The sequence below is a fragment of the Homo sapiens genome, chromosome 7 (genome assembly GCF_000001405.40).
Source record: "Homo sapiens chromosome 7, GRCh38.p14 Primary Assembly".
Taxonomy (NCBI): Eukaryota; Metazoa; Chordata; class Mammalia; order Primates; family Hominidae; genus Homo; species Homo sapiens.
This window is the reverse complement of record NC_000007.14, coordinates 66,328,629-66,350,666: the sequence shown is the minus strand read 5'-3', so window position 1 is coordinate 66,350,666 and position 22,038 is coordinate 66,328,629. Positions and strand designations below refer to the sequence as shown.

At 40.3% G+C, this 22,038-nt stretch overlaps 1 protein-coding gene and 1 pseudogene across 13 annotated transcripts in view, besides 1 other annotated feature; both read right to left on the bottom strand.

Moving 5' to 3' along the window:
* TPST1 (tyrosylprotein sulfotransferase 1) overlaps window positions 1–22,038 on the bottom strand; it is a 161,654-nt gene that overhangs the window by 9,777 nt on the left and 129,839 nt on the right. The window lies entirely within an intron of this gene.
* Window positions 590–1,089: an enhancer, noted in NCBI's record as "H3K27ac hESC enhancer chr7:65814565-65815064 (GRCh37/hg19 assembly coordinates)". NCBI's record gives its function as "activates a minimal SCP1, AML or CMV promoter by ChIP-STARR-seq in naive H9 embryonic stem cells {active_cell/tissue: H9 hESC(naive)}" and the evidence as "EXISTENCE:reporter gene assay evidence [ECO:0000049][PMID:30033119]".
* RNU6-313P (RNA, U6 small nuclear 313, pseudogene) lies at window positions 6,253–6,364 on the bottom strand (annotated as a pseudogene).

The window sequence follows — 22,038 nt, the reverse complement described above, 5'->3', positions numbered from 1 at the left end:
GGTCTAAAAACCTAAAGAAGTTTCTCCTTTTACTGATCCACTTATAAATATAGCTGCATTACTTCGGAGGCTCAGAGAATGAACACACTTTTTTTTCCTGCAATGCCTAAAACTTGGTCTATTTTTTTTTTTTGTTCTCCGTTACAGTCTAGGAGACCTAAACTGAAGTAGAGACACAAGGCTTATAGATAAGGTATTTCCGTGGAGGTGCATGGCCCTGGAAAGTGAACAGGGTGCAGGATAACAAAACTGCAGCTGCTAGGAGTGTCTCAAAGCTACCATCATCTCCCCCAGTCAATGGGGGCTGGCTTAGCTGCTCCCTAAAGAATCTACATATAAGAATCATTTGTTCGGCTGGGCGCGGTAGCTCATGCCTGTAATCCCAGCATTTTGGGAGGCGAAGGCGGGCAGATCACCTGAGGTCAGGAGTTCGAGACCAGCCTGGCCAACATGGTGAAACCCCATCTCTACTTAAAATACAAAAAATTAGCTGAGCGTGTTGGCAGGCGCCTGTAATCCCAGCTACTCAGGAGGCTGAGGCAGGTGAATTGCTCAAACCTGGGAGGCGGAGGCTGCAGTGAGCTGATCTCAGCATTGCACTCCAGACTGGGCAACAAGAGCGAAACTCCATCTCGAAAAAAAGAATCATTTGTTCTACCCTGACACCACAGCTTGGATGGGTCCAGCTTGCTGAGGTGGGAAGTGTCTAAGCCCTGGGAGCTGTGTATCATGTTAGCACTTGCTTCCATCTACTTTGCCTGCCTATTGTCTGTGGGTCAAGAAGACACCATGCCCAGTGGAGGGGCTGAAGCTACTAGAATGTTTTATTTGTTTTGGGTTTTTTGTTGTTGTTGTTTTTGTTTTTACCAGATTCTCAAGTGTCTTTCCTTCTCCCTCTATTCAAGAAATGAAGTCCCAGCCCCTACTTTCCAGGCCCCAGGGGCATACACTGCTCAGGCCCACAGTCCACTCTGGTCTGTGCCGTGGCTGCTTTACAGAACCAGTTCAGGTTGGGTCTGCCCCAGTCCCTCTTCTCTTGTCAGTGGGTTGAGGTCTCAAGTGACTTGACTTTGTTGTTGTTGTTGTTGTTGTTTTGAGACGGAGTTTCGCTCTGTCACCCAGGCTGGAGTGCAATGGCGCAATCTTGGCTCACCACAACCTCTGCCTCCCAGGTTCAAGCACTTCTCCTGCCTCAGCTTCCTGAGTAGCTGGGATTACAGGCATGCACCACCACGCCTGGCTACTTTTTTGAATTTTTAATAGAGACAGGGTTTCTCCATGTTGGTCAGGCTGGTCTTGAACTCCTGACCTCAGGTGATCCGCCTGCCTCGGCCTCCCAAAGTGCTGCATTACAGGTGTGAGCCACGGCGCCCAGCCAACTTTTCTTATTTTCACACTCTCTCAGACATTCAGACACTGAATCTCCTCTTTGAGCTAGCCTCTTCTGCTAGAATTTATGCAGAACGTTTAACTCAAGCCCAGGCAGTCATACAGGTGTCAGTGGCAGAGCAAGGCTCAGAGGCCGCACCCCAGGGCTCTTCCATTAAACCACACTCATTGCATCCCACATTGCCTTTAGCAAATCTATGGTGAAATCTTTCTTCCTCTTTTTGGCTTGTTATAAAAAGCATAAGGCATAACAGGAAATATGAGTGGGAACATTCAACACTATAAGTACCTTCCTAGTACTGACAGTTCCAGATAGGTAAGGCTTATATGAAGAAGAAAAAAAAAACCTAGGTATGCGATGTTACTGTAATAAAAAACCAAAAGGGGTCTGGGTAAAATATCAAATAAAGGCTCACGCAAAAATTCAGTGGGCAGCTGTCTGAAGATTTCCTTCTTTTAGTATCCTCCAGGGAACAAATGCCTCAAAAGTTAGGAACTGTAAAACCGACGAAAATAACATTTTCCACTGACAAAGCAATTTCTACACAGTGCAGAAAACTGACCCACTACATTGCCTATACAAACAGCAGAGCTAGAAATGGAATTTCCTTTGGTTAATGTTTCTGGACATCTGAATATTTTCAGGCACTAAAAGATGGAGGATTCTGCTTGACAGCAATGAGCTAGGTATTCAGAAGCCAAATGTTTCTACAAACCCTCCCACCTCAAGCACTGAAGAATAAGACAAAACTAAGCTTCTGATTTGAAGGGCAAATTGGAAATTAAAATAATAAAAAAAATCGCTAAACTTTACTATTTTCTGTGCATCAGGTTGGTATTAAGTAAGTGCCTCCTCATCAATCACACAATCTCCTGAGGAGGTATTATTCTCTTTTAACAGATGAAGCAACTGAGACACAGAGAAATTAAGTAATTCATAGACAGGTAGTGAAATGGGAAGCTTCTGTAGTAGTACTAGATTGGACTTTAATCATTCTAGTTGCTCTGTTTAGACTGTAGTATGGAGTCTATAGCAATAATCCAGAGAAGAGATAATGATGGCTTGGACCAAGGAGATAGAAATAGAGGTGGTAAGAAGGGGAGGATTACAATTTTTTTTTTCTTATTACATCTCGATATCCTAACAGATAGGATGTGGGATGTGAGGGACAAGGAGAATCAAGAATGACTCCAAGGTGTTTTGCCTAAGCAACTACCAACTGGAAACATGGAGTTACCATAGGTTGGTGGGGTTTTTCTTTCAATACTTTAAATATTTCATTCTGTAAGTCTTACAGCAATAAGAAAATAGAAAGAAAGGGCATCCAAACTAGAAAGAAAGAAGTCAAATTATCCTTGTTTATAGATAATATAACCTTATATTTGGAAAAACCAAAAGACTCCACCAAAAAAACTATTAGAACTAATAAATTCAGAAAGTTGAAGAAGACAAAACCAACATACAAAAATCAGTAGCATTTTTATGTGCCAACAGTGAACAATCTGAAAAAGAAGTCAAGAAAGTAATCCCATTTACAATAGCTATGAATAAAATAAAATTCTTCTACTCAGAAATAGAAAAAACAATTCTAAAGTTTACCTGGAACCATGAAAGATCCAGAATAACCAAAGCTATCCTGAGCAAAAAGAATAATACTGGTGGAGTAACATTACCTGAATTCGAATTATACTACAGAGTTATAGTAACCAAAACAGCATGGTACTGGCATAAAAATAGACACACAGATTGATGGAAAAGAACAGATAACCCAGAAACATATCCACACATCTACAGAGAACTCATTACCAACAAATGTGCCAAGAACATACATTGGGGAAAGAACAGTCTCTTCAATAAATGGTGCTGGGAAAACTGGATATCCATATGTAGTAGAATGAAACTAGATACTTGCTGGACATGGTGGCTCACACCTATAATCCCAGCACTTTAGTAAGTCAAGGCCAGTGGATCACTTGAGGCCAGAAGTTTGAGACCAGCCCGGGCAACATGGTGAAACCCCGTCTCTACTCAAAATACAAAAATTAGCCAGGCATGGTGGCATATACCTGAAATCCCAGCTACTCAGGAGGCTGAGGCATTAGAATTACTTGAACCTGGGAGGTGGAGGTTGCAATGAGTTGTGATCACACCACTGTACTCCAGCCTGGGAGACAGAGTGAGACCCTGTCTCAAAAAAAAAAAAAAAAAAAAAAAAAAGAAAAGCAAAGGAAAAAAAGAAGAAAGAAAGAAACTAGACCCCTATCTCTTGCCATATACAAAAATCAAATCAAAATGAATTAAATACTTAAATCTAAAACCTCAAACTATGAAGCTGCTAAAAGAAAACATTTGGAAAACTCTCCAGGACATTGCACTGAGCAAAGATTTCTTGAGTAATACCCCACAAAGACAGGCACCCAAAGCAAAAATGGACAAATGGGATCATGCCAAGTGTAAAAACTTCTATGCAGCAAAGGATACAATCAACAAAGGGAAGTGACAATCCCCCAAATGGAAGAAAATATTTGCAAACTATCCATTTGACAAGAAACTAATAACCAGAATAAAGAGCTCAAACAAGTCAATAAAAAATCGAATAATACAATAAAAAATGGGCAAAAGATCAGAATAGACATTACTACAAAGTAGACATACAAATGGCAAGCAGGTATATGAAAAGGTACTCAATATTACGTCATGACCATCAGGGAGATGCAAATCAAAACTACAATGAGATATCATCTCATCCCAGTTAAAATGGCTTTTATCCAAAAGACAGGCAATAACGAATGCTGGTGAGGATGTGGAGAAAAGGGAACCCTGGTACACTGTTGGTGGGAATATAAATTAGTACAACCACCATGGAGAACAGTATGGAGGTTCCTCAAAAAACTAAAAATGGAACTACCATATGATCTAGCAATCCCACTACTAGGAATATACCCAAAAGAAGGGAAATCAGTAAATCAAGGAGATATCTGCATTCTCACGTTTGCTGCAGCACTATTCACAATAGCCAAGATTTGGGATCAATCTAAGTGTCCATCAACAGATAAATGGATAAAGGAAATATTATATATATATATATATATGTACTATTCAGCCATAGAAAAGAATGACCCTGTCATCTGCAACAACATGGATGGAAGTGGGGGTCATTATGTTAAGTAAAATAAGCCAGGTATAGAAAGACAAACTTTACATGTTCTCACTTATTTGTGGGAGCTAAAAATTAAGACAGTTGAACTCATGGAAATAGAGAGTAGAACAATGGTTACCAAAGGCTGGGAAGGGTAGTGGGTAGGTGGGTGGGGGAGGGGATAATTATAGGGTACAAAAATATTATTAGATAGAAGGAATAAAATCTAGTATTTGATAGCACAACACGGCGACTACAGTCAATAATTAACTATTTATTTAAAAACAACTAGAGTATAACTAGATGGTTTGTAATACAAGAAAATGATAAATGCTTGAGGTGACAGATACCTCATTCATCCTGATGTGATTATTACATATTGTATACCCGCATCAAAATATCTCATGTACCCCATAAATATATACACCTACCAGGTAACCACAAAAATAAATGAAAAACATAATTAAAAACATAATAAAGACATAATAAATATAGAGATATTTCACTCCACTCTCCATAGGTGTTTTTTTTCCTCTAGGTTTTTTCAGGATGTTATCTTTGATTTTCTGCAATTTGATTATGATATGCCTAGGTGCCTGGGTACAGACTTTCTTGTATTTATCTTTTTTTTTTTTTTTTTTTTTTTTTGGAGATGGAGTCTCACTCTTTTGCCCAAGCTGGAGTGCAGTGGTGCCCAGCTCACTGCAACCTCTGCCTCCCAGGTTCAAGCAATTCTCCTGCCTCAGTCTCTTGAGTAGCTGGGATTACAGGCACCTGCCACCAGGCCTAATTTTTCTATTTTTAGTAGAGACAGGGTTTCACCATGTTGGCCAGGCTGGTCTTGAACTCCTGACCTCAAGTGATCTGCCCACCTCGGCCTCCCAAAATGCTGGGATTACAGGTGTGAGCCACCGCACCTGGCATTTGGTATTGATCTTGCTTGTTTTCTTAACTTTCTAAACTGGATTTGTGGTTTGGCATCTGTCTTTAGTTTTGAAAATAGTCATTATTACTTCAAATGGTTCTTCTATTCCTTTCTCTCTTTTCCTCTGTTATTCCCATCGTGTGTACACAATTTTACATACACATATTTTTTTTAATTTTTTAAAAAATTGGCCAGGCGCGGTGGCTCACGCCTGTAATCCCAGCACTTTGGGAGGCCGAGGCGGGCGGATCACAAGGTCAGGAGATCGAGACCATCCCGGCTAACATGGTGAAACCCCGTCTCTACTAAAAAGTATAAAAAATTAGCTGGATGTGTTGGCAGGCACCTGTAGTCCCAGCTACTAGGGAGGCTGAGGCAGAAGAATGGCATGAACCCAGGAGGCGGAGCTTGCAGTGAGCCGAGATTGCACCACTGTACTCCAGCCTGGGCGACAGAGTGAGACTATGTCTAAAAAAAAAAAAAAAAAAAAATTAGAAATGTTGGCTGGGTGAGGTGCCTCACACCTGTAATCCCAGCACTTTGGGAGGCCAAGGCAGGTGGATCACGAGGTCAGGAGTTCAAGACCAGCTTGGCCAAGATGGTGAAACCCCATCTCCACTAAAATTACAAAAATTAGCCAGGCGCAGTGGTAGACACCTGTAATCCCAGCTACTCTGGAGGCTGAGGCAGGAGAATCGCTTGAATCTGGGCAGCAGAGGTTGCAGTGAGCCAAGATCATGCCACTGCACTACAGCTCAGGTGAAAGAGTGAGACTCCATCTAAAAAAAACAATTAGAAATGTTTTTTCTATGCTTCATGACCTTACATATCATCCTTGCACAGGGCCATGTTGTGCAATCTTCTTGGTATTGTTCCAATTTTAGTGTTAGGTTCAGCCAAAGCAAGGACTTAAATATATATAATTTTGTAACTGTCCCACAGTTTTTGGATATCCTATTCTTTTCCTTTTTATTTTTTGTGGAGTCAACAGATCTCTCTCTGTTGCCTAGGCTGGCCCTCAACTCTTGGTCTCAAGTGATCTTCCCACCTGGGCCTCCTGAAGTGTGGAGATACAGTGTGAGCCACCAGGCCCCGCCATGTTCTGTCATTTATTCTTTTTTCTCTTTGCAGTTTAAGTTTTGGAACTTTCTACTGACATATCTTCAAGCTCATTGAATCTTTCCCAGGTTATCTATTGTCCTTTCCACTCTATCAATAAGTCCAAGGGCATTCTTCATTTCTGTTATAGTATTGCTTATTTCTAGTATTTCTTTTGGGTTCTTTCTTAGAGTTTCTATTGTCTGCTTATGTTACCCACCTTTCTTGCATGTTGTTCACTTTTTCCATTAGAGCCTTTAGTATATTAATCATACTTATTTAAAATTTCCAGTCTGATTATTCCAAAAATCGCTGCCATAAATGAGTCTGGCAATGGTTCTGATTCTTGTTATGCCTCATGCAACTTTGATTTTTGCCTTTTAGCATGTCTTGTAAGTTTTTGTTGAAAGCAGACATGATATACTGGGTAGAAGAAACTGCGGTAAAAAGTCCTCTTGTTTGAGGCTTTATGTTTCTCTGGCTAAGAGTTGGGCTGTGTTTACTGTTTTGTGTAGCTGTATAGGTTACATTTCCTTTAGTGTCCTTTTTTAAATCAATTTTTATTTTAGATTCAGGGGTACACGTGCAGGTTACAAGGGTATTTTGTGTGATGCTGACGTCTGGGGTACAACTGATCCTGCTACCCAGGTCGTGAGCATAGTACCCAATAGGCAGCTTTTCAACCCTTTCTCCCCTCCCTCTCTCCTGTCTCTTGCAGTACCCAGTGTCTACTGTTCCCATCTTTATGTCCATGAATACCCAATGTCTAGCTCCCACTTATGAGTTCGGAACATGTAGTTTTTGGTTTTTTGTTTCAGCATTAATTCACTTAGGATAATGGCCTCCAGCTGTACCCACGTTGTTACAATCACATCCTTGTTTTTGTATCTATCATTTCTTCGTTTCCCTAAAGACTCCTTATTAAAATAGAATAGGGTCTGAAAATTAGTTCATTTAGCAGTAATCCACTATCATTACACAGGAGACTGATTGGTGTGGTGGTGAGGTGTGTGTGGTGGGGGGAGTGTCTTATAATCACATAATTAGTTCTCAGTCTTTTAGTGAGCCTGTGTGCCTGGGCCGTGACTTTCACAAGTGCTTCTCAGGTTCCCTTCTCCCCAATTAGGTAAGACAGGAAGGCTAGAGAGGGCTGCAGTTGGGTGTTTCCCTTCTGATACACTTTGGGTATTTTTCCCCTCCAACTCATGCTGAAATGTGATTCCCAGTGTTGAAGGTGGGGCCTAGTGGGAAGTGTTTGGGTCATGGGGCCAGATCCCTCATGAATGGCTTGATGTTGTCCCTGCACTTGTGAGTGAGTTCTTACTCTATAACTATAGTTCACGCAAGACCTGGTGCGAGATCTGGTTGTTCAAGAGTCTGGCACCTCCCTCCCCTCTCTCTCTTGCTCTCTCTCTCTCCATGTGCTGTGCCTGTTCCCCTTTGTGTTCCACCATAAGGGAAAGCTTCCTGAGGCCTCACCAGAAGCTAAGCAGATAGATGCTGGTGCCATGCTTCTTGTACAGTCTGCAGAAATGTGAGCCAAATAAACCCCTCTTCTTTATAAATTACCAGTCTCAGGTATTCTTTTTTAGCAATGCAAGATGGACTAACACATCTTCCTCCAGGTCTGTTAGGCTCTGGTAAAGCACATGTCAATTAGGCTTGATTAAACAGTTTACTTTGAGAGCAAACCATTGCTAAGGAGTGCTACGGCTTATTTCAAGATGATGATTTCCCCTTCTCCCTACCTAAAGCTTGAGGAGATTTTTCTCTTTACCCTGAGAATCTGGTGAGGTTTCTGGAGGTAATCTGTGATTCTCAGTATGCACCATTCCCTCCAGTTTTTGGGAGAATGGTTTGCCCTGAAGCCTCAATTTTCTGATTGAAGAGTTGATTTTTCAGTTTTTGCAGCTTCTCTTTGTCCTTGGTGTTCTACAGTTTCATGGTACTGTGGCTTATTTTCCTCACTCAGTGGTATTGGAAACAGATACATGTCCATCTACTCTTATATTGTCATTTTGATAACATCCTGCTGTTCGTTTTCTCTATTCTCTTTTTCTGGAATTCCAGTCAGTTAAACATCAGACAACTTGAATTTTGCTTCTAAGTTTCTTATCTTTTCTCTCTAAGTCATCTCTTGTTTTTTCTTTTTGTTTTACTAAGATATTTTCTCAACTTTATCCAATCACTGATTTTAAATTTCAGCTCTCCTATTTTTAGTTCCCAAGCTTTCTGAATGTTTTAGAAAATAGCAATTTATTCTTGTTCCTTCACCTCACCTCTACAAGAATATTAATTACAGTTCATTTATGATTTCTTTTGCTTATTACATTGTTTTTGTTATCTCCGAGGTACATTTTTCTTTCTTTTGGTCTCTCTTATGTTAGAGATGTTCTGCCAATTTCTGGCAAGTCTTGGCTATGAAGCACTACAAAGTTAAATGGAGTTCTCTATATGAGAGTTGAGTATAATTATGGGTGTGCTTTCTCAGCCAGCCTTTTTGTCAGGATTCTCCAAGTATAATTTTGTAGGTCTAGGCTGAGTGCGGTGGCTCACACCTGGAATCCCAGCACTTTGGGAGGCCGAGGCAGGTGGATCATGAGGTCAGGAGTTCAAGACCAGCCTGACCAAGATGGTGATAACCCATCTCTACCAAAAATACAAAAACATTAGCCAGGCATTTGTGATGGGTGCCTGCAATCCCAGCTACTTGGGAGGCTGAGGCAGAGAATTGCTTGAACCCAGGAGGCGGAGGTTGCAGTGAGCCAAGATCATGCCACTGCACTCCAGCCTGGGCAACAGAGCGAGACTCTGTCTCAAAAAACAAAAATTTGTAGGTGTTTTATATACCTATGTGTGTATAAAATGTGTGCACATATATATAGAACCATGGTGTTTTGGTTACCATAGCTTTGTGGTATTCAAAGTCAGGCAGTGAGATGTCTCCAACTTTGTTCTTTCTGCTCAGGATAGCTTTAGGTATTCAAGGTCTTTTGTCATTCCACACAAATTTTAGGTTTTTTCTATTTCTGTGAAAAATGTCATTGGTATTTTGATAGAGATTATACTGACTCTGTAGATTACTTTGGGTAATACTGACTTTTGAGACGGAGTCTCACTCTGTCACCCAGGCTGGAGTGCAGTGGCATGATCTCGGCTTGGTGCACCCTCTGCCTCCCAGGTTCAAGTGATTCTCCTGCCTCAGCCTCCTGAGTAGCTGGGATTATAGGCACCCACAACCAGGCCTGGCTAATTTTTCTATTTTTAGTAGAGATGGGGTTTCACTATGTTGGCCAGGCTGGTCTCGAACTCCATAACAATATTAATTCTTCTAATCCATGAGTATGAAGTATCTTTTCATTTTCTATATGTCCTCTTCAATTTCTGTCATCAGTCTTTTACAGTTTTCATCACAGAGATTCTTCACTTATTTGGTTAAGTTCATGCCTAGGTATTTTATTTTTTTTGTAGCTATGTAAATGGGATTGCTTTTCTGATTTCTTTTTCAGATTGCTTGCTGTTGATGTATAGAAATGCTACAGATTTTTGTTATGTTGATTTTGTATCATGAAACTTAAGTGAATTTGTTTATCAGTTCTAGCAGTTTTTGGAGGAGTCTTCAGGTTTTTCTAAATACAGGATCATGTTATCTGCAAATAAAGATAATGTGGTTTCTTCCTTTCCAATTTGGGTACCCTTTATTTCTTTCTCTTGCCTAATTGCTTGGGCTAGGACCTCAAGTACTAAGTTGAACAGAAGTGGTTAGAGTGGGCATCCTTGTCTGTTCCTAATCTTAGAGAAAAATTATTCATTATTCAGCTTTTCACTGTTGAACATGACGTTAGCTGTGGGTTTGTCATATATGGTTTGAGATATGTTCCTTCTTTTTTTTTTCTTTTTTGAGATAAAGTCTCGCTCTATCACCCAGGCTTTGTATTTTTAGTAGAGATGGGGTTTCACCATGTGGGCCAGGCTGGTCTCAAACTCCTGACTTCAAGGGATCCACTCACCTCAGCCTCCCAAATTGCTGGGATTACAGGCATGAGCCACTACACCTCACCGAAGTATGTTCCTTCTATACCGTTTGTTGAGAATTTTTATCAAGAAGGGATGCTGAATTCTACTGAATGCTTTTTGAGCATCTATTGAAATCATCATATGGTTTTTGGTCTTGATTGTATTAATGTAATGTACTATGTTTATTGATTTGGGTATGCTGAATCATCCTTGCATCCCTCGGATTTCCACTTTATCATGATGATTTTTTTTTTTTTTTTTTTTAGGTTGAGGGGTACATGTGCTGGTTTGTTATGTGGGTAAACTGTGTGTCACAGAGGCTTGGTGTACAGATTATTTCATCACTCAGGTAATAAGCATAGTACCGAATAGGTATTTTTTCTGATCCTCTCCTTCCTCCAACCCCCCACCCTCAAGTAAGTCTGTTCTTCCCCTCTTCGTATCCCAGGATGATCTTTTTAATGTATTGTTGCACTTGGTTTGTTAGTATTTTGTTGAGGATTTTTGCATCTGTGTTCATCAGGGATGTTGGCCTGTCATTTTCTTGTTGCATCCTGTCTGGTTTTGGTATCAGGGTAATGTTGCCCTTGTAGAATGAGTTGGGAAGTAATCCCTTCTCTTCCAAAAAAATTTTTGTTTTGAGGAGTTTGAGTAGGATTGGTATTAGTTCTTTAAATGTCTGGCAGAATTTAGCAGTGAAGCAACAGGTCCTGGGCTTTTCTTGGTTGAGAGACTTTTTTTATATGGCTTCAATCTCATTACTCATTATTGGTTTGTTGAGGTCTTTTGTTTCTTCCTGATTCAATCTTGGTAGGTTGTATGTGTCAGAGAATTTACACATTCCTTCTAGGCTTTGCAATTTTTTGGTGTATAGTTGTTCATAGTAGTCTCTAATGATCTTTTTGTATATCGGTGGTATCACTTACAATGTCCCATTTTTCACCTCTGGTTTTGCTTATTTGGGTCTTCTCTCCCCCCACCCACCACCCCCCAACACTTAGTCTTCTGAAAGGTTTGCCAATTTTGATTACCTATTCAAAAAAACATTTTCATTTCATTGATCTTTGTATTCTTTTAGTCTTGGTTTCATTTACTTCTGCTCTTTTATTATTTCTTTCTATTAACATTGGTTTGTTTTTTAGATGCCTTTTTTCACGGAGAAAAAAAGAACAAAAAATTGGGGGTTTGTTTGGTTTTGCTTTTCTAGTTCCTTGAGGTGTATCGTTAGGTTATTTGAAGTCTTTTTACTTTTTTGATATAGACGTTTATTGCTATACACTTCCCTCTTAGAACCGCTTTTGCTGTATCCCATAGGTTTTGGTATTTTGTTTCCATTTTCATTTGTCTCAAGAAATTTTAAAATTTACTTTAAAATTTCTTCATTGGTCCATTTGTTGTTTAATTTCCATTAATTTGTACTGTTTCCAATGTTCCTCTGATTATAGATTTCTAGTTTTATTCCACTGTGACAAGATAAATATAATTTCAATTTTAAAAATTTGTTAAAACTTGTTTTGTGACCTAATGTATGATCAATCCTGGAGAATATTCCATGTGCTGTTGAGAAAAATGTGTATTCTGCAACTGTTGGATGGAATGTTCTGTAAATATCTGTTAGGTCCATTTGGTCCAGAGTACAGTTTAATGTCTACGTTTCTTTGTTTCTTTTCTGTCTGGATGATCTGTTCACATTGAAAGTGTGGATGTTCCCTAGTATTACTGTATTGCAGTCTATCTCTCTCTTTAGGTCTATTAATATTTGCTTTATATATTTGGGTGCTCTGGTGTTGGGTGTATATATATTTACCATTGTTATATCCTCTTGCTGTACTGACCCCTTTGTCGTTATATAATGGCCTTGTCTTTTTTTTAACCATCTTGATTTAAGTTTATTTTATGTGATAAAACTATAGGCTCTCTTGCTCTTTTTTGGTTTCCATTTGCATAAATTATCTTTTTCCATACCTTCACTTTCAGTCTGTGCTTATCTTTACAGATGAAGTGAGTTTCTTGTAGCCAGCATATGGATGGGTCTTGTTTTTTAATCCATTCTGCCACTCTTAATTGAAGAATTTAATCCATTTATATTCAAAGTTATTACTGACAGGTAAGGGTTTACTACTGCCATACTGTTCCTTGTTTTTGGTTGCTTTGTAGATTCTTTCTTCCTATTTTCCTCTCTTACTGTCTTCCTCTATGGTAAGTGATTTTCTCTAGCAGCGTGCTTTGATTTTGTGCTATTTATTTTTAGTGTATCTATTATAGGTTTTTGCTTTATGGTTACTGTGAGGCTTACAAAAAAATCTTATAATAGGTTATTTTAAACTGATAATCACTTAACTTTGCAAAGAAAAGTAACAAAAACTCTATACTTTAACACCGCCATTGCCATTTTGACTTTTTGATGTTTTGATTTAATCTTTTTATTGCTTAAACAATTGTCTGTCTCCTAAATAACCGTTGTAGTTACTGTTTTTAATAGTTTTGTCGGCCGGACATGGTGGCTCAAGCCTGTAATCCCAGCACTTCAGGAGGCCGAGATGGGCGGATCACCTGAGGTCAGGAGTTCGAGACCAGCCTGGCCAACATTGTGAAATACTGTCTCTACTAAAAATACAAAAATAAGCCAGGTGTGTTGGCACATATCTGTAATCCCAGTTACTCGGAGGCTGAGGCATGAGAATCACTTCAACCCAGGAGGTGCAGGTTGCAGTGAGCTGAGATTGCACCACTGCACTCTCCAGCTTGAGTGACAGAGCGAGGCTCTGTCTTAAAAAAAAAAAAAAAAAAAAAAAAAATTTGTCTTTTAGTCTTCATACTTAAAATATAAGTGGTTTACTCATCCCATTTGCAGTATTACAATATTCTGAATTTTTCAGAAGTCTTCTTTTACCAGTGAGTTTTCTTTCTTTTGCCGGTGAGTTTAATGCCATTAGATGCTTTCTTTTTACCCATTAGCATCCTTCACTTTCTGACTGAACAGCTCCCTTTAGCATTTTTTGTAAGACAGGTCTGGTGTTGATGAATTCCCTCAACTTTTGTTTGTCTGGAAAAATCTTTATCTTGCCTTTGTGTTTATAAAGGGTAACTTTGCTGGGTACAGTATTCTTGCTTGGCAGTTTTTTTCTTTTCCTTCAGCACTCTAAATATACCATTCCACTCTTTGCTGGCCTACAGGGTTTCTGCTGGGATATCTGCTGAAAGCTCTATTGGGGTATGTTGAATGGGACACATTTCTTTTCTCTTGCTGCCTTGAGTAATCTTTCTTTGTCTTTGATTTTTGTTAACCAGATTGTTATGTGCCATAGGTATCTCTTCTTTGGGTTGATTTTAATTGCTGATCACTGAGCTTCCTGTACCTAGACAGTGTCATCTTTCTCTAGATTTGGGACTTTTTCAGCCATGATTTGCTTAAGTATGCTTTCTACACCCTTTTCTTCCTCATCTTCAGGAATTCCTATTATGCAGAGGTTAGTCTGCTTGATGGTATTCCACAATTCTTGTAGGTCTTCTTTACCCTTTTTTATTCTTGCTCCTCTGAATGGGTAATTTCATATGTTCTGTCCTGAAGCTCACCAATTCTTTTATTTGATTAAGTCTGCTGCTAAAGCTTTCCAATGAGTTATTCCAGTTCAGTTACTGTATTGTTTATAGATAGGATTTCTATTTGTTTTCTTGTTTCTATTTCTTTGTCAAATTTCTCACTACATACATGGATTGCTTTCTAAATTTCATTTAATTTTCTATCTCTATTTTCTTGTGATTCCCTGAACATTTTTTTTTTTTTTGAGGCGGAGTCTTGCTCTGTCTCCCAGGCTGGAGTGCAGTGGCACAATCTCAGCTCACTGCAAGCTCCGCCTCCTGGGTTCACACCATTCTCCTGCCTCAGCCTCCCGAGTAGCTGGGACTACAGGTGCCCACCACCAGGCCCTGCTTATTTTTTGTATTTTTAGTAGAAATGGGGTTTCACCATGTTAGCCAGGATGGTCTCGATCCCCTGACCTCGTGATCTGCCCACCTCGGCCTCCCAAAGTGCTGGGATTACAGGCGTAAGCCACCATGCCTGGCAGATTCACTGAACTTTTTAAAGAGGCTTATTCTGAATTCTCTGTCTGACATTTCATAGATCTTCAATTCTTCTGAGTCCACTGGTGGAGCTTTGTTGGTTTCTTTTGGTGGTGTCATATTTCCCTAAGTTTTCATAATCATTGCTTGTTTATGTTGATGCTTGCACATTTGAGGACACAGCCATTTCTTCTAGGTTTTGCAGGTGTTCTTTGGTGATTTCGGGCCTTTACTTAGTATGAGAGCTTAAGTACTGGCCTATTGTTTCTTCCCATTCTGGGGAAGACTTACAGTGAGCATCAGAACTGAAACACTGCACTAAAACTAAACTAACTTGCCCTGCCATTCAAAACATTGCACTAAAACAGAACTAACTTGCCCTGCCGTTCAAAACACTGCACTAAAACTAAACTAACTTGCCCTGACATTGTTTCACAGACAGGAAGACTTATAGTGACCACCGAAAGGTAAACATTGTTCTCCAACTATATTGCTATCCTGTCATCATTTCCCAGTCTGTGAAAGTCTTAAGTGCTTAAGTGTACACTGGAAGTTAATCCCAACTTTTTTTTTTTTTTGAGACACAGTTTTGCTCTGTTGCCCAGGCTGGCGTTCAGTGGTGCGATCTTGGCTCACTGTAACCTCTGTCTCCCAGGCTCAAGCGACTCTTTGCTTCAGCCTCTGAAGTAGCTGGGATTACAGGCACGTACCACCACATGCAGCTAACTTTTGTTTTTGTGGTAGAAGTGGGATTTTGCTATGTTGCCCAGGCTGGTCTTGAACTCCTGGGCTCAAATTATCCACCCAACTTGGCCTCCCAAAGTGGGATTACAGAAATGAGCTGCCATGCCCAGCTTAATCCCAATCTTATAGCTGTTTCTGGGCCACGGGAAGGTTCCATGTGAGCACTAAGTTTTGTGGAAAATCCGACCAGGGATTCAGGCCTTCCCACTGATTACACCCCAGTGGCACTAAGACACTGGCCATCCTTGTCAATAGGGTGTCTCGGCTAATTAGAGTACAGAGTAGCTGCAAGATCCATATACTAGTTGCTACAATCAGTGCCCTGCTCTTTGTCCCCACTTTACCCCAGATAGTTCAGCTCTCCTGGCTCTCCCTGATGGGACGGGAGTGGGCTCCCTGGGAAGATTCCCAGACCAGTGAGGAGACTGAATACACACCTCCAATTCCTTCCTCTCACCTTGGAAACTGCAGGGCTAGGAAAATTCTCCCTGAGTGGTGTTATGCCAGCTTGGGGGGAAGGGGTGGCACAGTCTGAAATGACCACTTATTTTACAAAAAATTTTGTTGGCCCAGGAGGTTTCTCCACTTCTTCCCCAAGTTCTGGTGAACTCAGGTTGATATTCTTGTCTTTGAATACTTTTTTTTTTTTTTTTGAGATGGAGTCTCGCTCTTTCACCCAGGCTGGAGTGCAGTGGCATGATCTTGGCTCACTGCAACCTCCAACTCCCGAGTTCAAGCAATTCTCCTGTCTCAGCCTCCTGAGTAGCTGGGATTACAGGCACCCACCACCATGCCCAGCTAATGTTTGTATTTTTAGTAGAGACGGCGTTTCACCATGTTGGCCAGGCTGGTCTCGAACTCCTGACCTCAAGTGATCCACACGTTTCGGCCTCCCAACATGCTGGGATTACAGGAGTGAGCCACCGCGCCCAGCCTGAATAATTTCTAGTTGCATTTTTGTGGGAAGAGTGATGCCAGGTATCTTTTATTCCACTATCTTGCTGACATCACACTCTCCCCCTAGTGTCTTTATTTTCTCTAGTTTTCTTCCTCCCTAAGGGAATCTATCTCTTCTGCAGAGGGGGAGGTGGGGTATAGAGATAAGGATCTGGAAGTCTAACTGTTCCTACACAGACTGTCAACCTCCCTATTTTTAGTATCAGACTTCATCCGTTTCCCCTAATTTGTAATACTTGATGTTTCTAATTCCCAAACATTTGTAGGGTTCAGGGTGAACTGGCTTGCTTCTTGTCCCTTTGCTTTTTTGTATCCCTGTTTTTCAGGCACTTACATTAAGTTACCTTCCAAATGGCTCAGTCCCTTACCATTTTTATATTAGCTTTCCATATTCGTATATTATGTTTTGATAGTGACAAATGAGTTTAGGGTTGCTAGTTTGGCGGCCTCTGAAAAGTTGGACATGAAAGACATGTACTAAAGTTAGAGGATCCAGTAGTACTAGTTTTAAGGAAATATGTTATTAGGGTGCACATACAGTATATACATTCTCTGAGGTCCAGGGGACTTGTGGCTGGAGGCTGCAAGGGTTTGCCAAGGCTGGAAACCATCACTTATGGGAATGCAAAGCTAACAAATAAACTACTATTAGAAAACAAATTCTATGTTGTGCAAGGGAAAAAAGGAGGCACGTAATTCCCATAATCTTTAACTTTACTGTTAATTATTCACAAGAGACTGGAGCTGGGAAAAAAAGACTAAAGATTTTTTAACCTTCCCAGTTCTAATGTTTTATGATTCTGAAGGAAGTTTCTCAAAGCCTGAGTGACACAGAGATTGCTTTCTTAGTTCCACCTGTGGCATCTCTAGCAGGCCTTCTGGGTCTTTTGTCTAACAACCTAACGCACTTTCTCGATCTTCCACAGTACACACACTACATAAGACCTAAAAGAAATGCATATACAAATGTGAGCTCTATATACAGTATTTAACACTGCTTTATAGCTTTTACTTGTGGCAGTGGTGGTATGTTTCCATACAAGAGGCTTTGGCTGTCAACAGACACCATTACAAAGAAAATAATTCAAATATAAAAGTAAATTGTATTTGCTGCTTTGGGTTTGTAGACGGAAATCAGGGTCAAGTTTTTGGAGTGAGGTATAATTAATTCCACTATAAGAACAGCCTTCAACTGTGGGATTACATAGAATACAGAGATAGAGAAGAAAGGAGAGTTTGCCTAAATTGCTTGTGAAGTTTCAAAAACCTAAGAGATTCTGAGCATTGGCTAAAGTGAGCAATATGTCATGTTTGTCATCTGTCCTCAGGCCACTCTTAGCTTTCTTACCCTTACTAAGCCCAGTGCCACTTCATCTGTCACCACGGCCTCCCCTATACAGTCATCTCTTGGTATCCACAGGGGATTGTTTCCAGGATCCCCTGTGAATAACAAAATCCACAGGTGCTCAAGTGCCTTATATAAAATGGTGTAGTATTTGCACGTAACATACACATATCCTCCTGTATACTTTAAATCATCTCTAGACTGCTTATAACACCTAATACAATGCAAATGCTATGTAAATAGTTATCCTGTATTTTTTAGGAAATAATGACAAAGTCCGTCACGTTCAGTACAGATGTAAGCATCATTTCCCCCCCACATATTTTCAGTCCATGGTTAGTTGAATCTATGGATGTGGAAACCACAGATACAAAGGGCTGACTATAGTAACAATTCATAATTAAGATGTAAACAGGCCAGGCATGTTGGCTCATGCCTGTAATCCTAGCACTTTGGGAGGCCGAGGCGGGTGGATCACCTGAGGTCAGGAGTTCAAGACCAGCCTGGCCAACCAGTATGGTGAAACCCCATCTCTATTAAAAATACAAAAAATTAGCTGGGCTTGGTGGCGGGCACCTGTAATCCCAGCTACTCGGGAGGCTGAGGCAGGAGAATCGCTTGAACTCAGGAGACGGACGTTGCAGTGAGCTGAGATTGTGCCTTGCACTCCAGCCTGAGCAACACAAACGAGACTCTCATCTCAAAAAAAAAAAAAAGATGTAAACAAAAGTCTCAGTGCAACTTAAAATAAATGTCATTAACATTACTTGTAGACCGCAGATCCAATTCTCTATAGCAGTAGTCCCCAACTTTGGGCCGGTTTTGTGAAAAACAATCTTTCCATGGACCAGCAGAGGGGATGGTTTCCGGATGATTCAAGCACATTACGTTTACTGTGCACTTTATTTCTGTTATTATTACATCATAATATATAGTGAAATTATTACACAACTCACTATATTGCAGAATCAGTAGAAGCCCTGAGCTTGTTTTCCTGCAACTAGAGGGTCTCATCTGGGGGTGATCGGAGACAGTGAAAGATCATCAGGCATTAGAGTCTCATAAGGCAAGAACAACCGAGATGCCTCACATGCACAGTTCACAAAAGTGTTCGTGCTCCTATGAGAATCTAATGCCATTTGTTTTAATACAAAAATCACAATTACTTTTGCAGCAACTTACTAGATACAGTAAACAGGAAGGCAATGGGCAAGTACTGATAACTAAGAGGTAACAAATGAAACAAAGAAAGAAACAGAAATTATAAAAGGCAGACAGAAGCCTTAAGTTTTTAGTAAAGAGATGAACAGTTCTATACCCTACATAAGGAGAAGACAGACACCTTCTTTTTATAACACACAATTGCTAATTTTCTTTTGATGAAATAAAATTTCAAATAATGATCAGTAATTTATTTTAAAAGGCAAGAAATATGTGATCAAATGCAGAAGTGATTCTACTCCAAATTATTAAGATTTGGTCCCTTCATGGTAAAAATCTATCCAGAAACTTAGCTTTTAAGGATGATTCACTTCCCAAGGGTTTCAGATAGCCAAGGTTTTACAAGTTATAGGAAAAATCGTCAGAAATGTTATTAAGCCAATTCTGTACTTGGATTAATCTTATGAAGAACATGACCTTGTTTAACCCTCTTCAAGTGTGGGACAGATCTAGTGACTGGCTTCTAACAACCAGAATTTGGCAAAAGTGATGGGATGTTACTTCTGAGATTAAGTTACAAAAAGTCTGTTATCTTTTGTCTTGAGCACTCTATCTTGCTCTCTTGCTTGGTTGCTTGCTCTGAGGTAGGCCAGCTGCATGTTGTCAACTGCCGTAGACAGAGGCTCATGTGGCAAATAACTGGCATCTCCAGCCAACAGCCAGTGAAAACCTGAGGCCTGCCAACAGTCACATGAGAGAGCTTGAAGGCAGATCCTCTCCCAGCTGAGCCTTGGATGACTGCAGCCCAGCTGACAGCTTGACTGCAACTTCATGAAAGATCCTGAGCTAGAAGCATCTAGGTAGCTTTGCCTGGATTCCTGAACCACAGAACCTATGAGACAACACGTTTGTTGATTTAAGCCATTAATACGTTTTAGAATAATTTGTTATGCTTCATATATAAATCATACAGATTTTGGTATCAGGAGTAAAGTTCCATTGTCACACATACCAAAAATGTGGGAGGAATATTAGAACTGGGAAATAGGTTCTAATAATAGGGCCCAGTTCTAATACTTTAAGGCCTTTCAGGAGAGGAGCAGTAAAGCCTAAATTGCCAGGAATTGATAGTTGGTAGATTTTAGATTGTTAGGAGGTGGACTGTGAGTTTTAAGGAATGTGAGGAACATCTGAGTAGAAACTGGAGGCAAGGGATCTCTGTTAGGTAGTTGTGGAAAGTTTAGCAACCCAATTTTACAGTGATGTGGAAGGTAGAAAATGTGCCGAATGAATTAGATGGTCTAGCTAAAAAGATTTCCAAGCAAAGTTAACTGCCAGGTTTCTTCTTGGTGTTTACAATAAGATGTAAGAGGACAGAGAAATTGAGGGAAAGATGGTTTAAAAGGAGCCAGGACACAATGGTTTTGAAAGTGGATGTGAAAATTCTTAGCCTCACCATCTTCAACACTAGCAGTGTGGCAAGCTCACATTTCCTACACTTATTCTGCTTCCCATCTTCAGAGCCCCTTCTCTACCTTCAACTCCCTTGCCTCTCCTTTATGAGGACCCTGGTGATTACTTTAGGCCCACCAGATGATCGGTAATCTCCTCATCTAAAATTCCTTAATTCCATCTGTAAAGTTCCTTTTGCCAGATAAGGTAACATATTCACAGACCCCAGGGATTAGGAAATGGCCATCTGGGTTGATTTGTTTTTCCAACTTTTATTTAGATTCAGGGGGTACATGTGCAGGTTTGTTACAGGGGTATAGTGTGTGATGCTGAAGTTTGGGATATGATTGAACCTGTCACCCAGGTAGTGAGCACAGTACCCAATAGGTAGTTTTTCAACCCTTATTTTTCCTTCCCTCTTCTGCCCTCTTGTATTCCCAGTGTCTACTGTCCCCATCTTTATGTCCATTTGTACCCAGTGTTTACCTCTCACTTACAAGTGAGAACATGAGGTACTTGGTTTTCTGTTTCTGCATTAATTCACTTAGGATAATGGCCTCAAGCGCCATCCAAACTGCTGCAAAGAACATGATTTCGCTCTTTGTTATGGCTGTGCAATATTTCATGGTGTATATGTACACATTTTCTTTATCTAATGGAAGTGGACATCTTTATGGAGCCATCATTCAGTCTACTACTTGCAAGCAATAGACAACTAATGCATTATATTTAGAATTTCTGCAGTTTATAAAGAGGAACATAGGGATGAACAAAGTGTCATATACTGGAGAAACGCCAGTCATATAGCCCTCACAAACAAAAACCTCATACACGTCTTCAAATTTTAACATAATCAGTTGTCGAGGAAAATGCTTTTATTCTTAGGGATATGCGCTGAGGAAGCATAATATCTGCAACTTTCAACTAATACCAATAAAAAAAAAGCCATGTGAGTATACATATGCACAGAGAAGATAAAGCAAATATGGCAAAATTTTAACAATAATTCTCTGTTAGGGTATATAGGTATTTATGGTACTATTCTTTCCAGGTTTCTCTATAAAAAATTGGAAAAAATCAGGAAGATAGTTTCAACACAACAAATATATTAACCATGCAAAGCTCACTGTAGTAGATTATAAGGAATATGTCATTTGTGGGCCAGGAGAAGTGGCTCACACCTATAATCCCAGAATTTCAGGATTCCTGCCTGAGGCAGATTGCTTGAGTTCCAGGAGCTCGAGAACAGCCTGGACAACATGGAGAAGCCTCGTCTCTACAAAAAAATACAAGTATTAGCTGGGCGTGGTTGTGCGCACCTGTAATCCCAGCTACTTGGGAGGCTGAGGCAGGAGAATTGCTTGAGCCCGTGGGGTTGAGGCTGCAGTGAGCTGTGATTATGCCACTGCACTCCAGCCTGGGTGACAGAATGAGACCCTGTCTCAAAAAAAAAAAAAAAAAAAAAAATATATATATATATATATATAGAGAGAGAGAGAGAGAGAGAGAGAGAGCGGGAGAGAGAGAGAGTGAGAAAGAGAGAGAGAGAGGCTGGGATCCCAGCACTTTGGGAGGCCAAGACAGGCAGATCACTTGATGCCAGGAGTTCAAGACCAGCCTGGTCAACATGGCGAAACCTGGTCTCTACTAAAAATACAAAAATTAGCCAGGCGTTGTGGCATGTGCCTATAGTCCCAACTTCTCAGGAGGTTTAGGCAAGAGAATTGCTTGAACCCAAGAGGCAG